Source organism: Homo sapiens, chromosome 5 (assembly GCF_000001405.40).
Source record: "Homo sapiens chromosome 5, GRCh38.p14 Primary Assembly".
NCBI classification, from domain to species: domain Eukaryota; kingdom Metazoa; phylum Chordata; class Mammalia; order Primates; family Hominidae; genus Homo; species Homo sapiens.
In genome coordinates, this window is record NC_000005.10 from 55306802 (window position 1) to 55326022 (window position 19221).

Consider the following 19221-nt stretch of genomic DNA (forward strand, 5'->3'; position numbering starts at 1 on the left):
CTATAAGTTGAGTTGTCAAATCAATTTGTACAGTAAGCAAAACTGCATGGCGGCAGAAACGAGGGCAGACAATTTTACAATAGATTACACGTAACCAGTGTGTAACCAGTGTGTAAGTCCTGTAATTTTTATTAAGTATTGATTTTTCCAGAACGCATGGAGACACTAGATTGTTGCTGAAAATGATATGAAAAACTGACAGAAAATGGGGCTGGCTGGCACCAGGAGGTCAGGAACTCCACTCAGTACTCGTCTTTGCGTTAGCCTAGCTAGCTGAGATGGTGCTCAGGATGAATTCCTGCTGAAACAGGAGCTAATGCAATTATTTTGTTTTTAGAAGGGGGAGAAGTGTGAGTTAAAAGAGAAATGCCAGGCTGCAACAGGGCTACTGTCAGAATTTTGGAGGCCCAAAGAGCTTAGACTTTTTTAATCTAAAACAAGGCCACCCCATGGGGAGGTAGCAGCTCGAGTGTTGGGAAATAGAAATGTTGGGCCCGAAGCTCCTCCCGGGTTCTAAGGCCCTTTCCTCAGGACAAGCAGCAAGGTCTCAGGGCAGACAGCCAGGGGCTGGGGGACCTCTCGTACCTTGCTTGACACGGGGCTCCCTGGAGCCGGCAGCGGCAGCGGCAGCGGTGGCCGGCCTGGACACTGGCTTCTTGCTTTGGGCCTCCCCGGCAATTCCAGCCTCGGCAGATTTGGCTCTGGAAGCAGACACGGCGGCCCGGACCACCGCGGCCGCTGGAGCCTTGTGTTTCTTGTTCTTGCCGCCCATGTTGCAGCTGTGGCAGAAGATCCTTCGCGGCCCAGGCCCCGACGGTACCACTGCACAGCCGAGAGCTCTTCACATTCCCCGGCTCCGGGGCTGCCACCCTGCGCTTCGATCCGGGCTTCTCGGGCCGGGGCGACCGCTGCCTCGCAATTGGTCGAATTCAGCAGGCTCCGCCTCCTTGAGTCGCCAGCTGCCTGCCACACGCCAGGCGCCACGCGCCGCCCTCGCTCTTTATCCACTGAGCAGCTTATCCACTTTAGGTCGGAAAGGAAAGGAAAGAAAAGCAGGAAAAAAAAAAAAAGTCAGGGGAACATTTTTGTCGGCTGCGCGACTCGACTACTTTTGTCTCCTGCGGGCCACTGTTGAGCCTTCACGAGACGTCACTGTCTTCGGTCGCGGGGCATCGTGGGTAGGAGGGAGATTTGCTCTCACTGCTCCCAAAAATGGCGGACGCATTCGGAGATGAGCTGTTCAGCGTGTTCGAGGGCGACTCGACCACTGCGGCGGGAACCAAAAAAGACAAGGAAAAGGACAAGGGGAAATGGAAGGGGCCTCCAGGGTCTGCAGACAAGGCAGGGTAAGGAAGAAGTTCCAGTTGTTGCTTTTATTTTTTTTCTCGGTGGGGAGGAAGAAAACACTACTCTCTTAGGAAGAGCACGAGAAAGTGAAGTGTACATTGAGTGGCGTTGGAAGTGAAGGGGTTCCAGAAAAAAGTTGGAGAGGGTGGAAGAATGTTGGTTCGTGGAAGGGGGGTCTTGGCGTTTCCTGGTGTCTGCAGGCAGCGTGATCTTCTGCTTCAATTCCCTTACGTCGATGTTACTGATTCTGTCCCCATCTTCGCGGTTGTCTCCTGCATCAGCACAACACCTGGCACATAGTCGTTAATAAACAAAACGAATGATTAGTTGAGTAAAAGGTGAAAAGGTTTAGAAAAAATGATATGAATTGATTTGGAGGGGAAAGGGCAGATAATAACATGAGAAGGGAGAGACATTTAATCTCCAAGATGTAGTAGTTTTCTCTTCCGTAAAATGGAGATAATAGTGCCTACCACTGGTGGATATGAGGATTCAATGAGATACACGTGTAAAGTGCCTAACAGTGGTTAGCTAGCTATCACTAATAAATGGTAGCTATCGTGAGTTTATTGAGAAAAAATTTAAAAATTACTGGACCCTACCCATATGTTTAGACTGGTGCATACAGCCACCAGAAAGTGTACAGATCTGTTTATAGTAGAACAAGGAAAAGCTATTACTTGTATTAAATAAAGTAAGATGATTAATTAACAATCAACAAAATATACTCTTGGCATTGTGGGGCCAGATACCCAATAGATGCTTGAAATTAAATTAGACATGATTTTGCTCTCAAGGAATTTTCGGTGTAGGGAAAGAGAACAGGTACCCATTAAAGAGTTACAGTATAGGTGAGGAGGTCGTTAACTTAAAATGAATGATATATACAATTAAGTGTTATAAAAGTTCAAGAAAGGGAGATCCTATTTCTGACTTTCAGGAAGGCTTATTTATATACAAGAGAATATTCTGAGTTAAGGAAATTGTGTTGTTAATGGTGCCAAGTTTGTTTGTTTTTAGGAGCATAAATTGAGCAAGAGGAACTGTTTCATTTAGGGACTACAAGAGATAAGACTGGGAATATACATTGATTTGAGAACATGAGGGGCCTTGAATATCAAGCAGAGGAGTTTTGATTTCATTTTTAAAACCCTGTTGAACAAGGTGATTGGATAAGTAGAATGATAGTTTAGGAAAATTAATTTGGCAGTGGTTGGCAGAGTACTATAATAGTATAGGGAAAGAAGATAGACAGTGAGAAAGTAAATTAGGAAATTATGTTAGTTATCTGGTTGTAAAGATGAAAAGAACCTCAACTCAGGCAGTGGCAGAGGAATGGAAAGGTACGAACATGTTAAGGAAAAAATGGACAGGCCTTCATTAATTAAGGAAAACAAGGGAAAGGAAGTCAAAAGAGATGTTTAATTTGCATGTCAGGGTGAAAAAAACAGGGACGTTCAGAGGTTTTGATATAGTGATAACATTAATTTGGCTTGAGACAATGTGAAGGGATGCTAGTATGTCTGTAGGAAAATGTCCACTGGGTAGTTTTAATAGGGTTTTGGAGAGAGACCAGGACTGGAGGTATATATTTGAATATCATTTGAATTGGTCTCCTTGAGATAGAGATCTCTGTGGGGAAGTAAGTGACACAACACAGAACTTCTGGAGAGGGTACATAAGCCTAAATAAGAGATTAGAGGGATAAGAGAAAATTCTATCAGGAGTGCGAAATGAGTGGAACAAAGTGGAAAAATAGTCTACTCGCATTAAGTTGGATTGGGAGAGTTTGGGGAAGCTTTTCAGAGAAAATAAGAAAGGAGGACCAATTATTTTTATTTCTTTCAAGACAGGAAGTAATAGTTGCTAGAGTGTTTGAATGGGCAACTATGATATTATGAAGACAATACATGTATAATTTACCATGTTAGTATATACTTTACCTCAAATTTGCTAGGATAAAATGAGTTTTATTTGCAGGTTAGTTGGGGTAAGCTGTTTGACAGCCTTCCAAAGTGAAAAGAGGAAATAAAAATCTAATTTACATTTCATTATATTAGGAAATGAATATTAGAGAAAGGAAATAAGAAAACACAGGAGAACGTTAGTAGCTTAAAGGGTTTTGTTTACTACCAACACTTCTAGCAAGGTCTTCTAGATATTTTTAAGAAAAAAATCCTGGCCGGGCGTGGTGGCTCACGCCTCTAATCCCACTTTGGGAGGCGGAGGCTGGCAGATCACCTGAGGTCAAGAGTTCGAGACCAGCTTCACCAACATGGCGAAACCCCATCTCTACTAAAAATACAAAATTTAGCCATGCCTGGTGGCAGGCGCCTGTAATCCCAGCTAGTTGGGAGGCTGAGACAAGAGAATGGCTTGAACCTGGGAGGTGGAGGTTGCAGTGAGCCGAGACTGTGCCACTGCACTCCAGCCTGGGCGACAGAGCTTGACTCCATCTCAAAAAAAAAAAGAGAAAAAATCCTATTTGCCTGATTGCAGTGGCCATACTAACATTATGCATAGTGTGATTCTCATCTGATCTGTGTAACATAGGAGGGCAAATCATGGAACTTCAGAGGAACTTGCCCTTTATTTAGTATTCTAGATCAAGTGGATGCTTTTTAAAAAAATAGTTTCTTTACCTTTTAGAGATGGGGTCTCATTTTCTCACCCAGGCTGGAGTGCACTGGTGCTTAGCAGCTTATGGTAACCTCGAACTCCTGGCCTCAAGCATTCCTCCCACCTCAGCCTCCTGAATAGCTAGAAGTACAGGTACACACCACCATATCGGGCTAATTTTAAAAATGTTTTGTAGAGACGGGTGTCTCATAGTATGTTGCCCAGGCTGGTTTCAAACTCCTGGCCTCAAGCAGTCCTCCCACCTTGGCCTCTGAAAGTGTTGGGATTCCAGATGTGAGCCACTGTGCACAGCCAGTGAGTACTTTTTAAAAAAACTTTATGAGAATTGTCAAACTATGTATTTTATATATAAAACAGTATGAAGAGCTTCATGTACTCATAACTCAGCTTCACCAATATCAAGTCATGATCAGTCTATTCCTACATCTTTTTTTTTTAATCAAATGCAAGTTGTTTTTTCTCCCTAAATATTTCAGTATTTATGTCATCCAACAAAACTAACAATAATTCCTTAATATCGTTAAATACTGAATCTGCAGTGAGATGTCCCCAGTTGTCTCGGATGTTTTTTGATCATTGGTAGTTGAATCAGGATTCAAACAAAACCCTACACTGTTTTTATTGTTATGTCCCTTAAGTATTTTATGCTACAACAGCCTCCCTCTTTTTTCTTTCTGCCATTGATTTCTATTTTGGAGGGATGAGTGAAGGGAGAAACCAGGTCATCTATTCTGTGGAGTTTCCCACATCCTGGATTTGCTTTCTTAAACTGCCATTTAACTTGCTCCTGTATCCTCAAGTATCTTCTGTAAACTGTCCTCATCCCTAGAGCTGCATTTTGTGACATAATAGCCACTATCCTCACGTAGCTGTTGAGCACTTAAAATATGACTTGTCAGAATTGAGATGTTCGGTGAGTGTAAAATTCACACCAGAATTGGAAACGTTAATATGAAAATTGTAAAATATCTCCTTAATTTTAATTTGGTTATAATTGAAATGATAGTATTTTGCATATATTGGGTTCAATGAAAGATATTAAAATTTATTTCAACAGTTTCTTTTTACCTTTTTAAATGTGGTTATTAGAAAATTTTAAATTACATATGCAGCTTGTAGCTTGTATATGTATGTATATATACTGGACTGCTCTGATCTAGTGGCTTGATTAGATTCAGGTTCAGTTTACTTCCTATTTCATTACATCATAATGTCTGAATATTCTACTGTTCTAAGATTGACAAGTTGGCGAAAATAGTATCACCCTGATTCCTCATCAACCTTTCACATGACGGCTTTAGCACCTAGTGATAATTGCCCAGGTCCATTACTTCACTAGTACTTGCACAGTGGCGATTTTCTGTTTTTATCATTTCTCTCTGCATTTATTACCTGGAATCCACCTATTAAAAAAGGCATTGTCTCATCAGCTGTTTGTTTACCTTGAAATACAGTTCATAAAGAAAAGGCAGGATAAATGCTTGATCCTTTAACAATTTTTAAGGAAATGAGTTGTGCCCTAAGGAAGTTTCAATGGTGACCAACATGGGTGTATGATTATGTTTCGTTTCTGGGTAAATGAGTGGATTTTTATATATTTACTCCTTTGCACTTATTTCTTCTTCTTTTTTTTTTTAATCTTATTGGGGTATAACTGAAGTGCAGTAAACCACCACAATCAAGATAAACATTTCCATCACCCTCAGGAGTTTTTTTGTGCCCCTTTTTAATACATCCCTGTCGCCACCTATCTAGAACTTATATTTTCTAAAATTTTATTTAAATACATTATGTATTCCTTTTACATGGCTTCTTTTACTCAACATAGTGCTTCTGAGATTCAGTCATGTGGTGTATATCAATAGTTTGTTTTTCTGGCTGAATAGTATTCTGTTTTATGCATATACCATATTTGTTTATACCTCCATCTGTTACTGGACATTTGAGTTGTTTCTGTTACGTTTTCTGAAACTTGGATTTCCAATCTTTTGAACAGTGAGTGCTCTTGAGGTTGGCTGTTGTGTCTTTTTGACAAGACATCATAAGTCTTTGATAGCTTATGTGTTTTTTGGATTTTCTGGACTCACTATACACTTTCAGTGCTAAACTTGGAATCAGCCACATCTCTAAGGAGTCTCTAATTTCTTATAGTGAGAAATGTTATTTTGTGCTTAGGGTGCACAATGCTACTGGATTTCATTGCTTTTAGGTTTTTACAGTACAAAGAACTAGGGAATCTTTGTTTTTATAAAAAATAGAATTCATACTGACATTTCCAGTACAATTAACATCACAGGGTTTTTATTTAACTTTTTGGATTTTTATAAATGTATCATTTCTCGGTTTTGTTGAAAATCCTCATTCCTAGGCCAGGCACATGGCTCATTTCTGTAATCCCAGCACTTTCGGAGGCTGAGGCAGGTGGATTGCCTGAGCCCAGGAGTTCGGGACCAGCTTGGGCAACGTGGTGAAACCCTGTCTCTACAAAAAAAAAAAAAAAAATTAGCTGGGTCTTGTGGCATGCACCTGTAGTCCCTCCTAGTCAGGAGGCTGAGGTTGGAGGATTGCTTTAGCTCTGGGAGGTTGAGGCTGCAGGGAGCTGTGATCATGACACTGCACTCTAGCCTAGGTAACAGAAAGAGACATGTCTCAAAAAAAAGAAAAGAAAATCCTCATTCCTGCTGACAATTACATAATTAAACTTTTTCTTATATATACTTACAATAGTTTAAAAATAATTTTGCAATTAATAAGATATTGAATGCAATTGTGGTTCTTTTTGCCCTCAATATATTGTGGTAACAGTGAAAATACTCTGTAGTAGTTCTTTTCTCTAAATGTTTATGCCACTAATTTGATATTTATTGTGTTCATTTGTTTCAGTGTATTTACAGTTTTTAAGAATTGCTAAAAATTTAATTTTTAAGAAATTATGTAAAAGATTTTGTAGTTCCAAAATCAAAAGTTTAAAACAGTACATTCTTGCTTCCATCCTTGCCCCTTCTTCCATTTCCTCCCTCCCCTTTAGTTTTTGCTTTGTCTCTTTTCTTTTTGAAAATATCAAATTGTGCGTACATGTGTCTATCAGATGTCTCCATTTCTCACTTCTTGTGCAAAAGGTAGCATTAAAAACTGTTCATCTTTTTTTACTTGATATTTTGACCAAGAGATCATCGTATATCAATATGTAGAGAGCTGTTTTTTTTTTTTAACAACTGCATAGTTGCAGTCCTTCAATCAATGTTCTCTGAATGAACATGGTACTATTTTCAGTCTTTTGCTGTTACAAATGATGCAACAATGTCTGTTTTGTAGAAGTCTGTTTCTTGTTGTTGTTGTTTGCCATTTTATCTTTGGAATAGATTCCTAGAAGCGAATTACTAGGTCAAAGAGTAACTAAGTAGGCATTTTTGCTAGATGTAGCCAAATTCCTCTCCACAGGAGATGTACCATTTTGTGTTTTCAACAGTGTGGTAGCAATGACAGTCCCCCAGTGATGTTCATGTCCCAATCCCTAGAACGTTTGAAATTGTTAGGTTACTTGGCAAAGGAGAAAGTTGCAGATGGAGTTCATGCTGCTAATCAGTTGACCTTGAGGTGGAGAGAGAATTCTGGATCATCCAGTTGGGACCGAAGTAATAACAAGGGTTTATAAAAGTGAAAGAAGGAAGCTGAAGGGAGAGAACCAGAAAGACAGCAACATTAGAAGGGCTCTGGCTGACTTTAAAGGTGGAGGAACAGGGTCATAAGCCGGAAAATGTGGGTGATCTCTAGAAGTGGAAGTGGCAAGGAAATGGATTTTCCCCCAGAGCCTTCAGGTAGGAACACAGCCCTGCCAACACAGCACCCTAGTTTTGGTCTTGTAAGACCTATATTGCACTTCTTTCTTTCTGAACTATAAAACAGTAAATTTGTCCTATTTTAAGCCAACCATCGCCAACCTTTTTAGCACCAGGGGCTGGTTTCATGGAAGACAGTTTTTCCACAGACCAGCAGTAGGGGGATGGTTTTGGGATGAAACTCTTCCACCTTAGATCCTTAGGCATTAGATTCTCATAAGGAGTGCACAACCTAAATTCTTCACATGTACAATTCACAATAGGGTTTGTGCTCCCATGAGAATCTAATGCTGCTGCTGATCTGACTGGAGGCAGAGCTCAGGTGATAATGTTCACTCACTCGCTGCTCACTTCCTGCTATGCAGCCTGGTTTCCTAACAGGCCATGAACTGCCCAGGGGTTGGGGGCCCATTTTAAGCCACTGGGTTTGTGGTAATCTGTTACAGCAGCAATAGAAAGTTGATACAAACAGTAATGTGTGAGAGTACTTTATGGCCTTTTTCACAGTGTATTGAACTTGGATTTTTGTCAGTGAGATAGATGAGAAATTGTATTTCAATTCGTGTTAATTTATATTTCTTTTCATCTTTAAAAAAATTGATAGTTGGTCCTTCTTAATTTTTGGACCTCTTTATAGACTAGGGATATTATTTCTCTAACATAAATTGCAAATATTTTCCCCAATGTTTTGTCATTCAGAAAAATTTTAATAAAGTCACGTTTGTCGTTCTTGTTGCTCTTGGATTTTTTGTCATGTTTTCTTCAAATCCTTGTATGGTTTTATTTGTTACATGTGCATCTGATCCGTTTTAAACCAGTGATTTTCATTGTGTTAAACAGATTGCCCAGATAGTCTAAAATCATTTTGACAAATATTTGTAGTTATTATTATTATATATATTTTTCGAGACAGACAACAACAACAACAAAAACCCATATTCCATTGCGGCATAGAGCAATAGTTAATCCACTGGAGATTACTATCAGGTTAACTTCTTTGTAGCTCTCAGAATAGAACTATTTCTGAGTATATGTGTACTTCATACAAATCTCCATCAACTAAGAAGGTGGTTGTTCTACACTAGCATTTTAAAAATAGTCTGTATTTATACTTATGTATAATTGTACAGTGAAGTATAAGACTGTGGAGCTGGGGGCAGTGGCTCATGCCTGTAGTCCCAGCTAGTAGGGAGGCTGGGGCCACCCTGGATGATACAGCTGGGACCCAACTTGAAAAAAAAAAAAAAAAACCTGTGGAACGCTCACATCATTGTTTTATACCCCGGCAGAAATCAAATAAACACAGTTAGAAGTTACAACGGAAATGTTACTACTGACTCCACAGAAATAAAAACAACCATCAGAAACTATTATGAACACCTCTACACACACAAACTAGAAAACCTACAAGAGGTGGATAAATTCTTGGACACATACACCCTCCCAAGACTGAGCCAGGAAGAAATTGATTCCCTAAACAGACCAGTAGCAAGCTCCAAAATTAAATCAGTAATAAATAGCCTACCCACCAAAAAAAGCCCAGGACCTGATGGATTCACAGCAGAATTCTACCAGATATACAAAGAAATGTTGGTAGCATTCCTACAGATATTATTCATAAAAATTGAGGAGGAAAGACTCCTCCCCAACTTATTATGTGAGGCCAGCATCATCTTGATATCAAAAATGGGCAGAGACACAACGACAAAAAACTTCAGGCCACTATCCTTGATGAACATCAATGCAAAAATCCTCAGCAGAATACTTGCAAACCAAATCCAGCAGCACATCAAAAAGCTAATCCACCATGACCAAGTAGGCTTCATCCCCAGGATGCAAGGTTGGTTCAACATGCAAATATCAACAAATGTGAGTCATCACATGAACAGAACTAAAGACAAAAAACCACATGATTATTTCAATACATGCAGAAAAGGCCTTCGATAAAATTCAACACCCCTCCATGTTAAAAACTCTCAGTAACCTAGGTATTGAAGGAACACACCTCAATATAATAGAGCCATCTATGACAAACCCACAACCAACATTATACTGAAAAAGTGAAAGCTGGAAGCATTCCCCTTGAAAACTGGCACAAGGCAAGGCTGCCCTCTCTCACCACTTCTATTCAACATAGTATTGGAAGTCCTAGCCAGAGCAGTTAGGCAAAAGAAAGAAAGAAAGGGCATCCAAATAGGAAGAGAGGAAGTCAAACTGTTTGCAGACAACATAATTCTATATGTAGGAAACCCCATAGTCTGGGCCCAAACACTCCAGCTGACAAACAACTTCAGCAAAGCTGCTGGATACAAAAATTAGTGTACAAAAAAGGCTAGCATTCTTATACACCAACAGTAGCCAGACTGAGAGCCAGATAAGAGAAGCAATCTCATTCACAATTGCCACACACCTCCCCCCTCCCACACACACACACCCTAGAAATACAGCTAACCAGGGAGGTGAAAGATATATGCAATGAGAATTACAAAATACTGTTCAAAGAAATCAGAGAAGACACAAACAAATGGAAAAACACCCCATGCTCATGAATAGGAAGAATCAGTATCATCAAAATGGCTATAGTGCCCAAAGCAATGTACAGATTCAATGCTATTCCTATCAAACTACCAATGACATTCTTCACAGAACTAGAAAAAACTACTTTAAAATTTATATGGAACCAAAAATAGCCAAGGCAGTCCTAAGCAAAAAGAACAAAGCTGGAGAGGCATCACATTACCCTACTTCAAACTATACTACAAGGCTACAGTAACCAAACAGCATGATACTGGTACAAAAACAGGCACATTGAACAATGGAACAGAGTAGAGAGCTAGAAATAAGGCCGCACATCTACAACCATCTGATCTTTGACAAAACTAACAAAACGAAGCAGTGGGGAAAAGACTCGCTATTCAATAAATGCTGCTGGGATAACTGGCTAGCCATATGCAGAAAATTGAAGGTGGACCCCTTCTTTACACCATGTAGAAAAATCAACTCAAGGTGGATTAAAGACAAATGTAAAACCCAAAACTACAAAATCCCTGAAAGACAACTAGGCAGTATCATCCTGGACCTAGGAATGGGCAAAGATTTGATGACAAGGACACCGAAAGCCATTGCAACAAAAGCAAAAATTGACAAATGGGATCTAATTAAACTTAAGAGCTTCCATACAGCAAAAGAAACTATCAACAGAGTAAACAGACAACCCACAGAATGGGAGAAAATTTTTGCAAACTATGCATTTGACAAAGGTCTAATATGCAGCATTTATAAGGAACTTAAATTTACAGGAGAAAAACAACCTTATTAAAAGGTGGACAAAGGACATGAACAGACATTTCTCAAAAGAAGACATACATGGGGCCAGAAAGCATATAAAAAAAGCTCAGTATCACTGATCATTAGAGAATTGCAAATCAAAACCACAAATGAGATACCATCTAACACCAGTCAGAATGGCTATTACTAAAAACTAAAAAAATAGCAGATGCTGTCAAGGTTGCAGAGAAAAGGGATCACTTATAACTGTTGGTGGGAGTGTAAATCAGTTCAACCGTTGTGGAAGGCAATATGGCAATTCATCAAAGAGCTAAAAACAGATATACCATTAGACCCAGCAATCCCATTACTGGGTATATACCCACAGGAATATAAAGCATTCTACCATAAAGACACATGCATGTGGATGTTCATTGCAGCACTATTCACAATAGCAAAGACATGGAATCAACCCAAATGCCCATCAATGACAGATTGGATAAAGAAAATGTGGTACGTATACACCATGAAATATTATGCAGCCGTGAAAAAGAATGAGATCATGTCTTTTGCAGGAACATGGATGGAGCTGGAGGCTATCATCCTTAGCAAACTAATGCAGGAACAGAAAACCAAATACCGCATGTTCTCGCTTATAAATGGGAGCTAAAAGATAACTTATGAACACAGAGAAGGAAACAACAGACACTGGGGTCTACTTGGAGGGAGGGTGGAAGGAGGGAGAGGAGCAGAAAAGATAACTGTTGGGCACTGGCCTTAATATCTAGATGATGAAATAATATGTACAACAAACCCCCATGACGTGTTTACCTGCGTAGCAAACCTTCACATGTACCCCAAACCTAAAATAAAAGTTTAAAAAGACCAAATACTTCTGCTTGGCACATGTTCTTCTCTAGGCGAGATACAATGGTTGTACACAACAGTCACTGCTTAACTTTTATTACAAGTAGTACTAAATGTCATTTCAGGTAGTGTGAGTACTTAAAAAAACTTCTTATTTGACATAATTTCAGACTTAGAGAAAATATATAAGAATGGCACCAAAATTCTTGTACATCTTCACTCAAATATTCTAAATTTTAACACTTTACCACGTTTACTTTATCCTCCCTTCCTCTTTCTTCCCATAATGCATATGTATATGTGTATGTTTGTGGATACATAATTTTTTCTGAACTGTTTAGAGTAAGTTGCAGATATGTTGCCCATTTACCTCTAGATTTCTAAGTTGCTTAGTCTGTATTTTCTGAAAATGAGAGCATTCTTTTATGTAACCACAGTTTATAGTTATCAAAATTAGGAAATTATATATTGATACAGTACTGTTACCTAATCAGACTTATCCAGATTTTGCCAATTGCTTTAATGTCCTTTATAAGAAAATAATTCTATATAGGATTAAGTGATTTGGTTGTCATGTCTTTTTTGTCTCATGTAATATGTACTAGTCTTTGAATTTCATGACCATTTTAGAATGTGTTGCTAGGTGTTGCCAAATTCCTCTATAGGTTAGAGATTGATTTTTATCCTCTGTAATTACAGGCTAGTTATCCCAGTTTGGGTTTGTTGGCCAATAAGTTATAATTAGATGTTGGCCAAATTTGTTGTTTGGGCTTAATGGCCAATTTGGTGCTCTTTCTTGTGCTATGTATAGAGCATGCTACCCTTATGAACTAAGAAGAATAACATTCTCAGATGGTTTCAATAAATTAAAACCTTATCCTTAAAAAGTAAGCTGGTTATCTACAACACTTCATTTCCAGCCTTTCTGGATAACTCAGATGTTTGTGTGCAAGTTCCACATGTGACGTACATACCAAGCTATGAGAGAAATAAATAATTAGAGTCCTAAAAGTCTGACATGCAATATTAAAGAATAATGTAGCACTTCTGACCAGAAGTGTTCTACCATGAATTTCAGTTTCTCAAAGGTTTGGGAACTTTCATGTTTCTTTGTTTTATAGACTTTAACCAGCTCCTAATAGAATGTTTTAAATATAGTGGCTTAGTTGTTGCTTACTCAGAGATAGAATAATAGAATGTTACACCTAGAAAGGATCTCAGTTATTGTCCAAATGTCTTGTTTTACTGAGGCCCAAGGATATTGATGACCTGTCCAGAAGAGGTTCACATAAGTAGTCAGCAACAAAAATGGGACTAGAATGAATAGCTTTTTCGCAAAATTGGGAGTGACAGAATTTACAAATTTTAGGTTTTGCTAGGTATCAGAGAATGGACTTCATTATGGAAAGGTTGTTCAAGCATATGGATCAGTATTGTTTTACCCTTTATTAAAAAGTCTTTTTTTTTTTTTTTTGAGAGGGAGTCTTGCTCTGTCGCCCAGGCTGGAGTACAGTGGCACGATCTCAGCTCACTGCAGGCTCCACCTCCCGGGTTCACACCATTCTACCTCAGCCTCCCGAGTACCTGGGACTACAGGTGCTCACCACCACACCCGGCTAATTTTTTGTATTTTTAGTAGAGACGACGGGGTTTCACCGTGTTAGCCAGGATGGTCTCAATCTCCTGACCTCGTGATCTGCCCGCCTTGGCCTCCCAAAGTACTGGGATTACAGGCATGAGTCACCCTGCCCAGCCTAAAAATTGTTTAAATAAAACATAAAGAAAAGTGTGCAGATTATGGGATGGATTTTTAGAGTGTGTGGAACACATCCACGCAGCCACCATTCTGTGCAAAAAAATAGAATATTACAACCCCTCTGTGTCCCTTAGAAAAAATAACTGTCCTGATAACAACATGTGTTAGTTTTTTTGTTTGGGACTGTTATGTAAGTGGAATCATACAAAATATATTTTTATGTTTGGCTTTGGCTCAACATCGTTTGCACAATTCATGACTAAATGGAATAGCAGTTCTGAGTGTGACTGTTTTGTTACGGGATCAGAGGGGCAAAGTCACAATTTTCCGAAAAGTCTATTAAAATACCCTGTCCTTTTTTAGTTACATATCTGTGTAAGGCTAGATTTTTCTTCATATGCTTTGACCAAAACAACATGTCATAGCAAGTTGAATACAGAAACAGGTGAATCCTGCTGTTTCTGTTAAGCCAGACATGAGAGATTTGGAAAAATATAAAAACTATGCCATTCTCGTTAAAATTTTTTTAGAAAATAGTTATTTTTTACCAAAAATGTTACTCATGTTAATATGTAGTGGTTTGACTGTTGCCATTTTAAAGTGAATTAATAAGTATTTAAAAAAATTTTAATCTTAATATCTAATATTGCAAATATCAATAGATACAACCACATAAAATTCATTAGAGTTTCTTATAACTTTTAAGACTGAGAAAGGATTCTGAAACCAAAAAGTTTGAGCCACTGACCTGATATCTGATTTACAATTCTGTCATAAGTAATGGTGTTGAGCTCCTTTTCATGTGCTTGTTGCCCATTTGAATATCCTCTTTTCTAAAGTGCCCACTAAGTCCTTTGCTCATTTTTTTAATTGGGTTATCTTTTAAAAATTGATTTATAATCCTCACCCCTAATTTTCTGTCCTGGTTAAGAAGTCCGGAAGATCATTTTCTCATTTTATCTTCTAGATTCTTTGTTATTTTTGCCTTTTCACACATCTAAAATTCACATGGAATTGATTTTTGTGTATGATGAGGTAAAGGTCAGATTGAATTCCCCTATGGATATTCAGTGTACCAAACATCTATTTTTTTTTTTTTTTTTTTTTTCCTGAGACAGTCTTGCTTTGTCTCCTAGGCTGGAGTGCAGTGGCGTGATCTCAGCTTACTGCAGCATCTGCCTCCTGGGTTCAAGCAGTTCACCTGTCCCAGCCTCTCGAGTAGCTGGGACTACAGGCATGCGCCATCATACCCAGCTCATTTTTGTATTTTTAGTAGAGATGGGATTTTGCCATGCTGTCCAGGCTGGTCTCTAACTCCCGACCTCAAGTGATCATCCACCTCGGCCTCCCAAAGTGCTTGGATTACGGGTATGAGCCACCGTGCCCGGCTCCAAACGTCATTTATTGTCACTACTTTTGACCAGCAAATCTAATCACAAAAAATTTTCTTCCAAATAGTAGTATCATGCCTTTAGAGAAAGCATTAAATGTTTGTTAAAGGTAACTCATGTTAATGTCTAATGATGTTTTAATTTACAGTTTTAAAGAAAATATATTTAATAGTTATGTTAATGTGAATTTTAAGATAATTTTAAACCGTCAAAGAAAAATGAAATACAAATGCAGTAAAGTATTCAGTTTTACTAGTTATAAAGTTAAGGTATTCCGGGCTTCAGCCAGTTGTTGTTTGTAACATTCATCTATTTAAAACATGACTTTCTGTTAATGGTATAGAGCAGTATTTTATGATGTTGCCCTTAAAGTAAAAGTGGATACTGCAGAATTCATTCCAAACTATTTACTTTTCAGGAAACGTTTTGATGGTAAATTACAATCAGAATCAACTAATAATGGAAAAAATAAGAGAGATGTAGATTTCGAAGGTACAGATGAACCCATTTTTGGAAAGAAGCCCAGGATAGAAGAGTCAATAACTGAAGACTTAAGGTAATATTTCCAAAGTCCTAAATGTTAGTAACTCATAATTCAGGTGGTTACATGAGGTTTTAAAAATTGTCTCCATGTTGCTACTTAGATATATGCCCGTATTAGAGAAATGAAGATATTCTTTCTATTTTTACACAGGCATGTAAATGTAGAACACTTACCTAAGTTTGGGGAGTTGGAAAGCAATATGGAAAATACTCATCTTTTAATACTTTAGAATCCAGTTTTGAGAAAAAAGTCTTAAAACCTGATTAAAAAAAATACGTTTTCTTTATTTGTAATGCCTCAGGAGGAGGATAACTGGAAGAGTGGAATAAAAGGAAAAAATAAAGCTAACTCAGTGGAAGGAATAAGTGGGAAGGAACATTAGAGCGAATTAGATTTTCATTGTTGCATGTGGAGTAGAGTGGCTGTGCATCTCAAGACTCCTGCTATGGGTATCTGTGGCTGGAATCGCTGGTATTTATCTGATTTTGGAAGCTGGAGCTTTCTAAAAGTTGATGCCAGTACCCTTGGTTGACCTGTTTTGTATTGTGGTAATGATCTTTACAACTTTGCTCCTCCCTTCTAATGTTCCATATTTGAACTTGGCACTACCATGAAGAGTTTACAATTTCTGTGATTTTTTTTTAAAACCAGTTAACTTTTGTTACAGTTAGTAAAATTATCTCCTATAAATGGTGATAGATGTGTCACTGGAATATTTAAGATGCACCATTTTCCCAGGCTACTATAATAAGTTACAAAATAATATTTGTAGTTTAAAGTCATTGTTACTTGTTTGTAACTTTTGAGTTTGTCCAAAGTAATATTATTGACTTAAATCTCAGAAGTACGATAAGTAAGATAATAATCTAGCACAGAAATACATCTATTTTTCTTCAGTTTATCCAGTTTTGCCTTTTCAGAGTCTTAACAGAGGACCTAGATAGCATAATGTAGGATTTTGATGAGAATAAGGAACTTTTTTTTTTTGAGACATTGTCTCACTCTGTCACCCAGGCTGGAGTGCAGTGGTGTGATCACAGCTCACTGCCATCTCAGCCTCCCCAGGGTCAGGTGATTCTCCTGCCTCAATGTCTTGAGTAGCTGGGACTACAGGCGCGTGCCACCACGTATGCTAATTTTTGAGTTTTTTTGTAGTGAGTTTCTGCCGTATTGCCCAAGCTGGTCTTGAACTCCTGGGCTCAAGTGATCCACCCACTTCAGCCTCCCAAAGTGTTGGGATTACAGGTGTGAGCCACTGTGCCTGGCCAGGAACACTTCTATAAATAATAGCAACAAATGAATTGGGCTAGTTTACTTTATACTTTCTATTGTGTAATGGTTTATAACCAGCTTATGTTTTGAAGTGGTGACAGTGCTTGGTAGAGGCACTTTTTATTCAAAATAGTTATTGGAACTAAGCTGACATAATTATTTGAATAATCACTCGGCAGTCTGTTCTGTATCTGTAATAAAAGATGTTAACTGGTCATTTTTAATTTTCAGCATATATTTGCATAATGTGAAAACATTTCTATGTATTCTTAATAGCCAAAGTTTTTCCTATTTGGAATACTGATGATTGGACAGTGTCATTTTCCTTAACAGTGCAATGTGAGGCTTATTATCAAATTATAGAAAAGTAATTTGTTTTTGTGTAACTTTAAACAATTCTTTTTAAGTTTGGCAGACCTGATGCCCAGAGTCAAGGTACAATCAGTTGAAACTGTTGAAGGGTGTACACATGAGGTAAGCACAAACAGCATACAGAAGGTTAGTGTTACAAATGGGATTTTTCTTTGGACTATCTAGTATGATGATCAGCAAACAGTTTAGCCATGAGGACCTTGGAAACAATAAATAGTTTCCATGGGGTACCTAGTGGAAGAGTTGGGGCTTTGTAATTAAACTTGGGTTCAGATCCTCCCCCAGCATTTTTCTTAACTATAATCTTGGGTAAATTTCTTATTTTAACTTTTTTTTTTTTTTTTTTTTTTTTTTTTTTTTTTTTTTTTAAGGCAGAGGTTCGCTGTTGTCGACCAGGCTGGAGTGCAATGGCGCAATCTCGGCTTACTGCAACCTCCGCCTCCCGGGTTCAAGCAATTCTCCTGCCTCAGCCTCCTGGGTAGCTGGGATTACAGGCGTGCGCCACCATGCCCGGCTAATTTTTGTATTTTTAGTAGAGATGGGGTTTCACTATGTTGGCCAGGCTGGTCTCAAACTCCTGACCTCGTGATCCACCTGCCTCAGCCTACCAAAGTGCTGGGATTACAGGCATGAGCCACTGCGCCGGGCCAATCTTGGGTAAATTTCTTAACCTCTTTGTTTATTTAAAAACATTGTTTTTTTGTAGTTTTTAAATTTGCAATAAAGGGATCTACCTTGTGGTGTGGTTGTGAGGATTATAGAAGTAAATTAGGTAAAGTACCTAGCACAGAGTAGGTGTTTAGAGCATTCATACTCCTAAAGTTAAGTAACAGTGCTATTTTTGAAGGTTACATGCTATTTCATGTCTTGCTCCAATGACTGATAAATTGCAGTTTCTTTGTTCTGCCACAAGATGGTGGTCAGAGATAGCTTGTATCCATTTAGAAGTGAGAATTTATACACATTAGGGACATGATGGAACTATAACACTATTTCCTTCTCAAAATTTTTTATTATAAACATTATAGCAAGTTATTTTTAGAGGTAATTGGAGAATCTCATTAAAAGTCTGTTGAATAAGCAGAGTAATCCAAATTAACAAAAAGACTTTCAATGTAGGTTTAGAACCTTATCTTTTTTTTTTTTAACTTCAGATTCAGGAGGTGGTACATATGCAAGTTTGATTTTTTCAGGAGGTGGTACATATATGCAAGTGTTGTTTTTTTGGGGGGGTTTTTTTTTGTTTTTTTTTTTTTTAAGAGTCTCACTATGTCATCCAGGCTGGAGTGCAGTGATGTGATCTCGGCTCACTGCAACCTCCACGTCCCAGGCTCAAGCAATCCTTCTGTCTCAGCCTCCCAAGCAGCTGGGATTACAGGTGCGTGCCACCACGCTTGGCTAATTTTTTTTTTTTAATTTTTTTTTTTATTTTTAGTAGAGACTGGGTTTCACCATGTTGGTCAGGCTGGTCTCAAACTCCTGACTTCAAGTGATCCAGCCATCTTGGCCTCCCAAAGTGCTGGGATTACAGGCATGAGGCACTGTGCCTAGCCATGTGCAGGTTTGTTACATGGGTATATCGTGTAATGCTGAGGTTTGGGCTTCAGTTGAACCCGTCACCCAAATAGTGAACATACTACCCAGTAGGTATTAAATAGTTTTTCAACCCTTTCCCACTTCACTTCCTGCTGTTGGAGTCCTCAGTGTCTGTTGTTCTTATCTTTATGTCCATGTGTACCCTATGTTTAGCTCTCACTAAACGTAGTGAGAATATGCGGTATTTGATTTTCTGTTTCTGCGTTAAATCAGGATGATGGCCTCCAGCTGCATCCATGTTACTGCAAAGGACATGATTTCTAGAAATTTATCTTTTAAAATATTTTTCTACTGAAAGTCTCTTATGTTTCTTTAGAGGTAGTACATAGT

General features: G+C 38.4%; 2 protein-coding genes and 1 long non-coding RNA gene across 9 annotated transcripts in view, besides 2 other annotated features; 1 reads left to right on the forward strand and 2 right to left on the reverse strand.

The window, feature by feature from the left end:
- DHX29 (DExH-box helicase 29) overlaps positions 1-893 on the reverse strand; it is a 51640-nt gene extending 50747 nt beyond the window's left edge. For all 6 annotated transcript variants that reach the window (NR_144325.2, NR_144323.2, NR_144324.2 and 3 more), the window contains exon 1: positions 586-893. Coding sequence is in view for 2 of the 6 variants with exons in the window: in NM_001345964.2 (NP_001332893.1) it covers positions 586-772 (187 nt within the window). In the remaining 4 variants the exon portion in view is untranslated. The remainder of the gene's footprint in view (positions 1-585) is intronic.
- Positions 562-821: an enhancer, noted in NCBI's record as "active region_22553". NCBI's record gives its function as "activates an Ori minimal core promoter by ATAC-STARR-seq in GM12878 lymphoblastoid cells {active_cell/tissue: GM12878}" and the evidence as "EXISTENCE:reporter gene assay evidence [ECO:0000049][PMID:35858748]".
- Positions 962-1441: an enhancer, noted in NCBI's record as "active region_22554". NCBI's record gives its function as "activates an Ori minimal core promoter by ATAC-STARR-seq in GM12878 lymphoblastoid cells {active_cell/tissue: GM12878}" and the evidence as "EXISTENCE:reporter gene assay evidence [ECO:0000049][PMID:35858748]".
- The window catches only part of MTREX (Mtr4 exosome RNA helicase), a 117591-nt gene continuing 99557 nt past the window's right edge, over positions 1188-19221 (forward strand). The window contains exons 1-3 of the mRNA NM_015360.5: positions 1188-1346; positions 15526-15663; positions 17331-17397. Of these exons, the coding sequence (NP_056175.3) occupies positions 1213-1346; positions 15526-15663; positions 17331-17397 (339 nt within the window). The 5' untranslated portion in view covers positions 1188-1212. The remainder of the gene's footprint in view (positions 1347-15525; positions 15664-17330; positions 17398-19221) is intronic.
- The window catches only part of LOC124900979 (uncharacterized), a 35003-nt gene continuing 17129 nt past the window's right edge, over positions 1348-19221 (reverse strand). The window contains exons 1-2 of one of the 2 annotated variants that reach the window (XR_007058775.1): positions 1746-12035; positions 1348-1636 (exon numbers count right to left, since the gene is read on the reverse strand). This is a non-coding gene — a long non-coding RNA (uncharacterized LOC124900979). Of the gene's footprint in view, positions 1637-1745; positions 12036-19221 lie in introns of those variants that run through there. The other variant, XR_007058774.1, reaches the window with a different exon arrangement.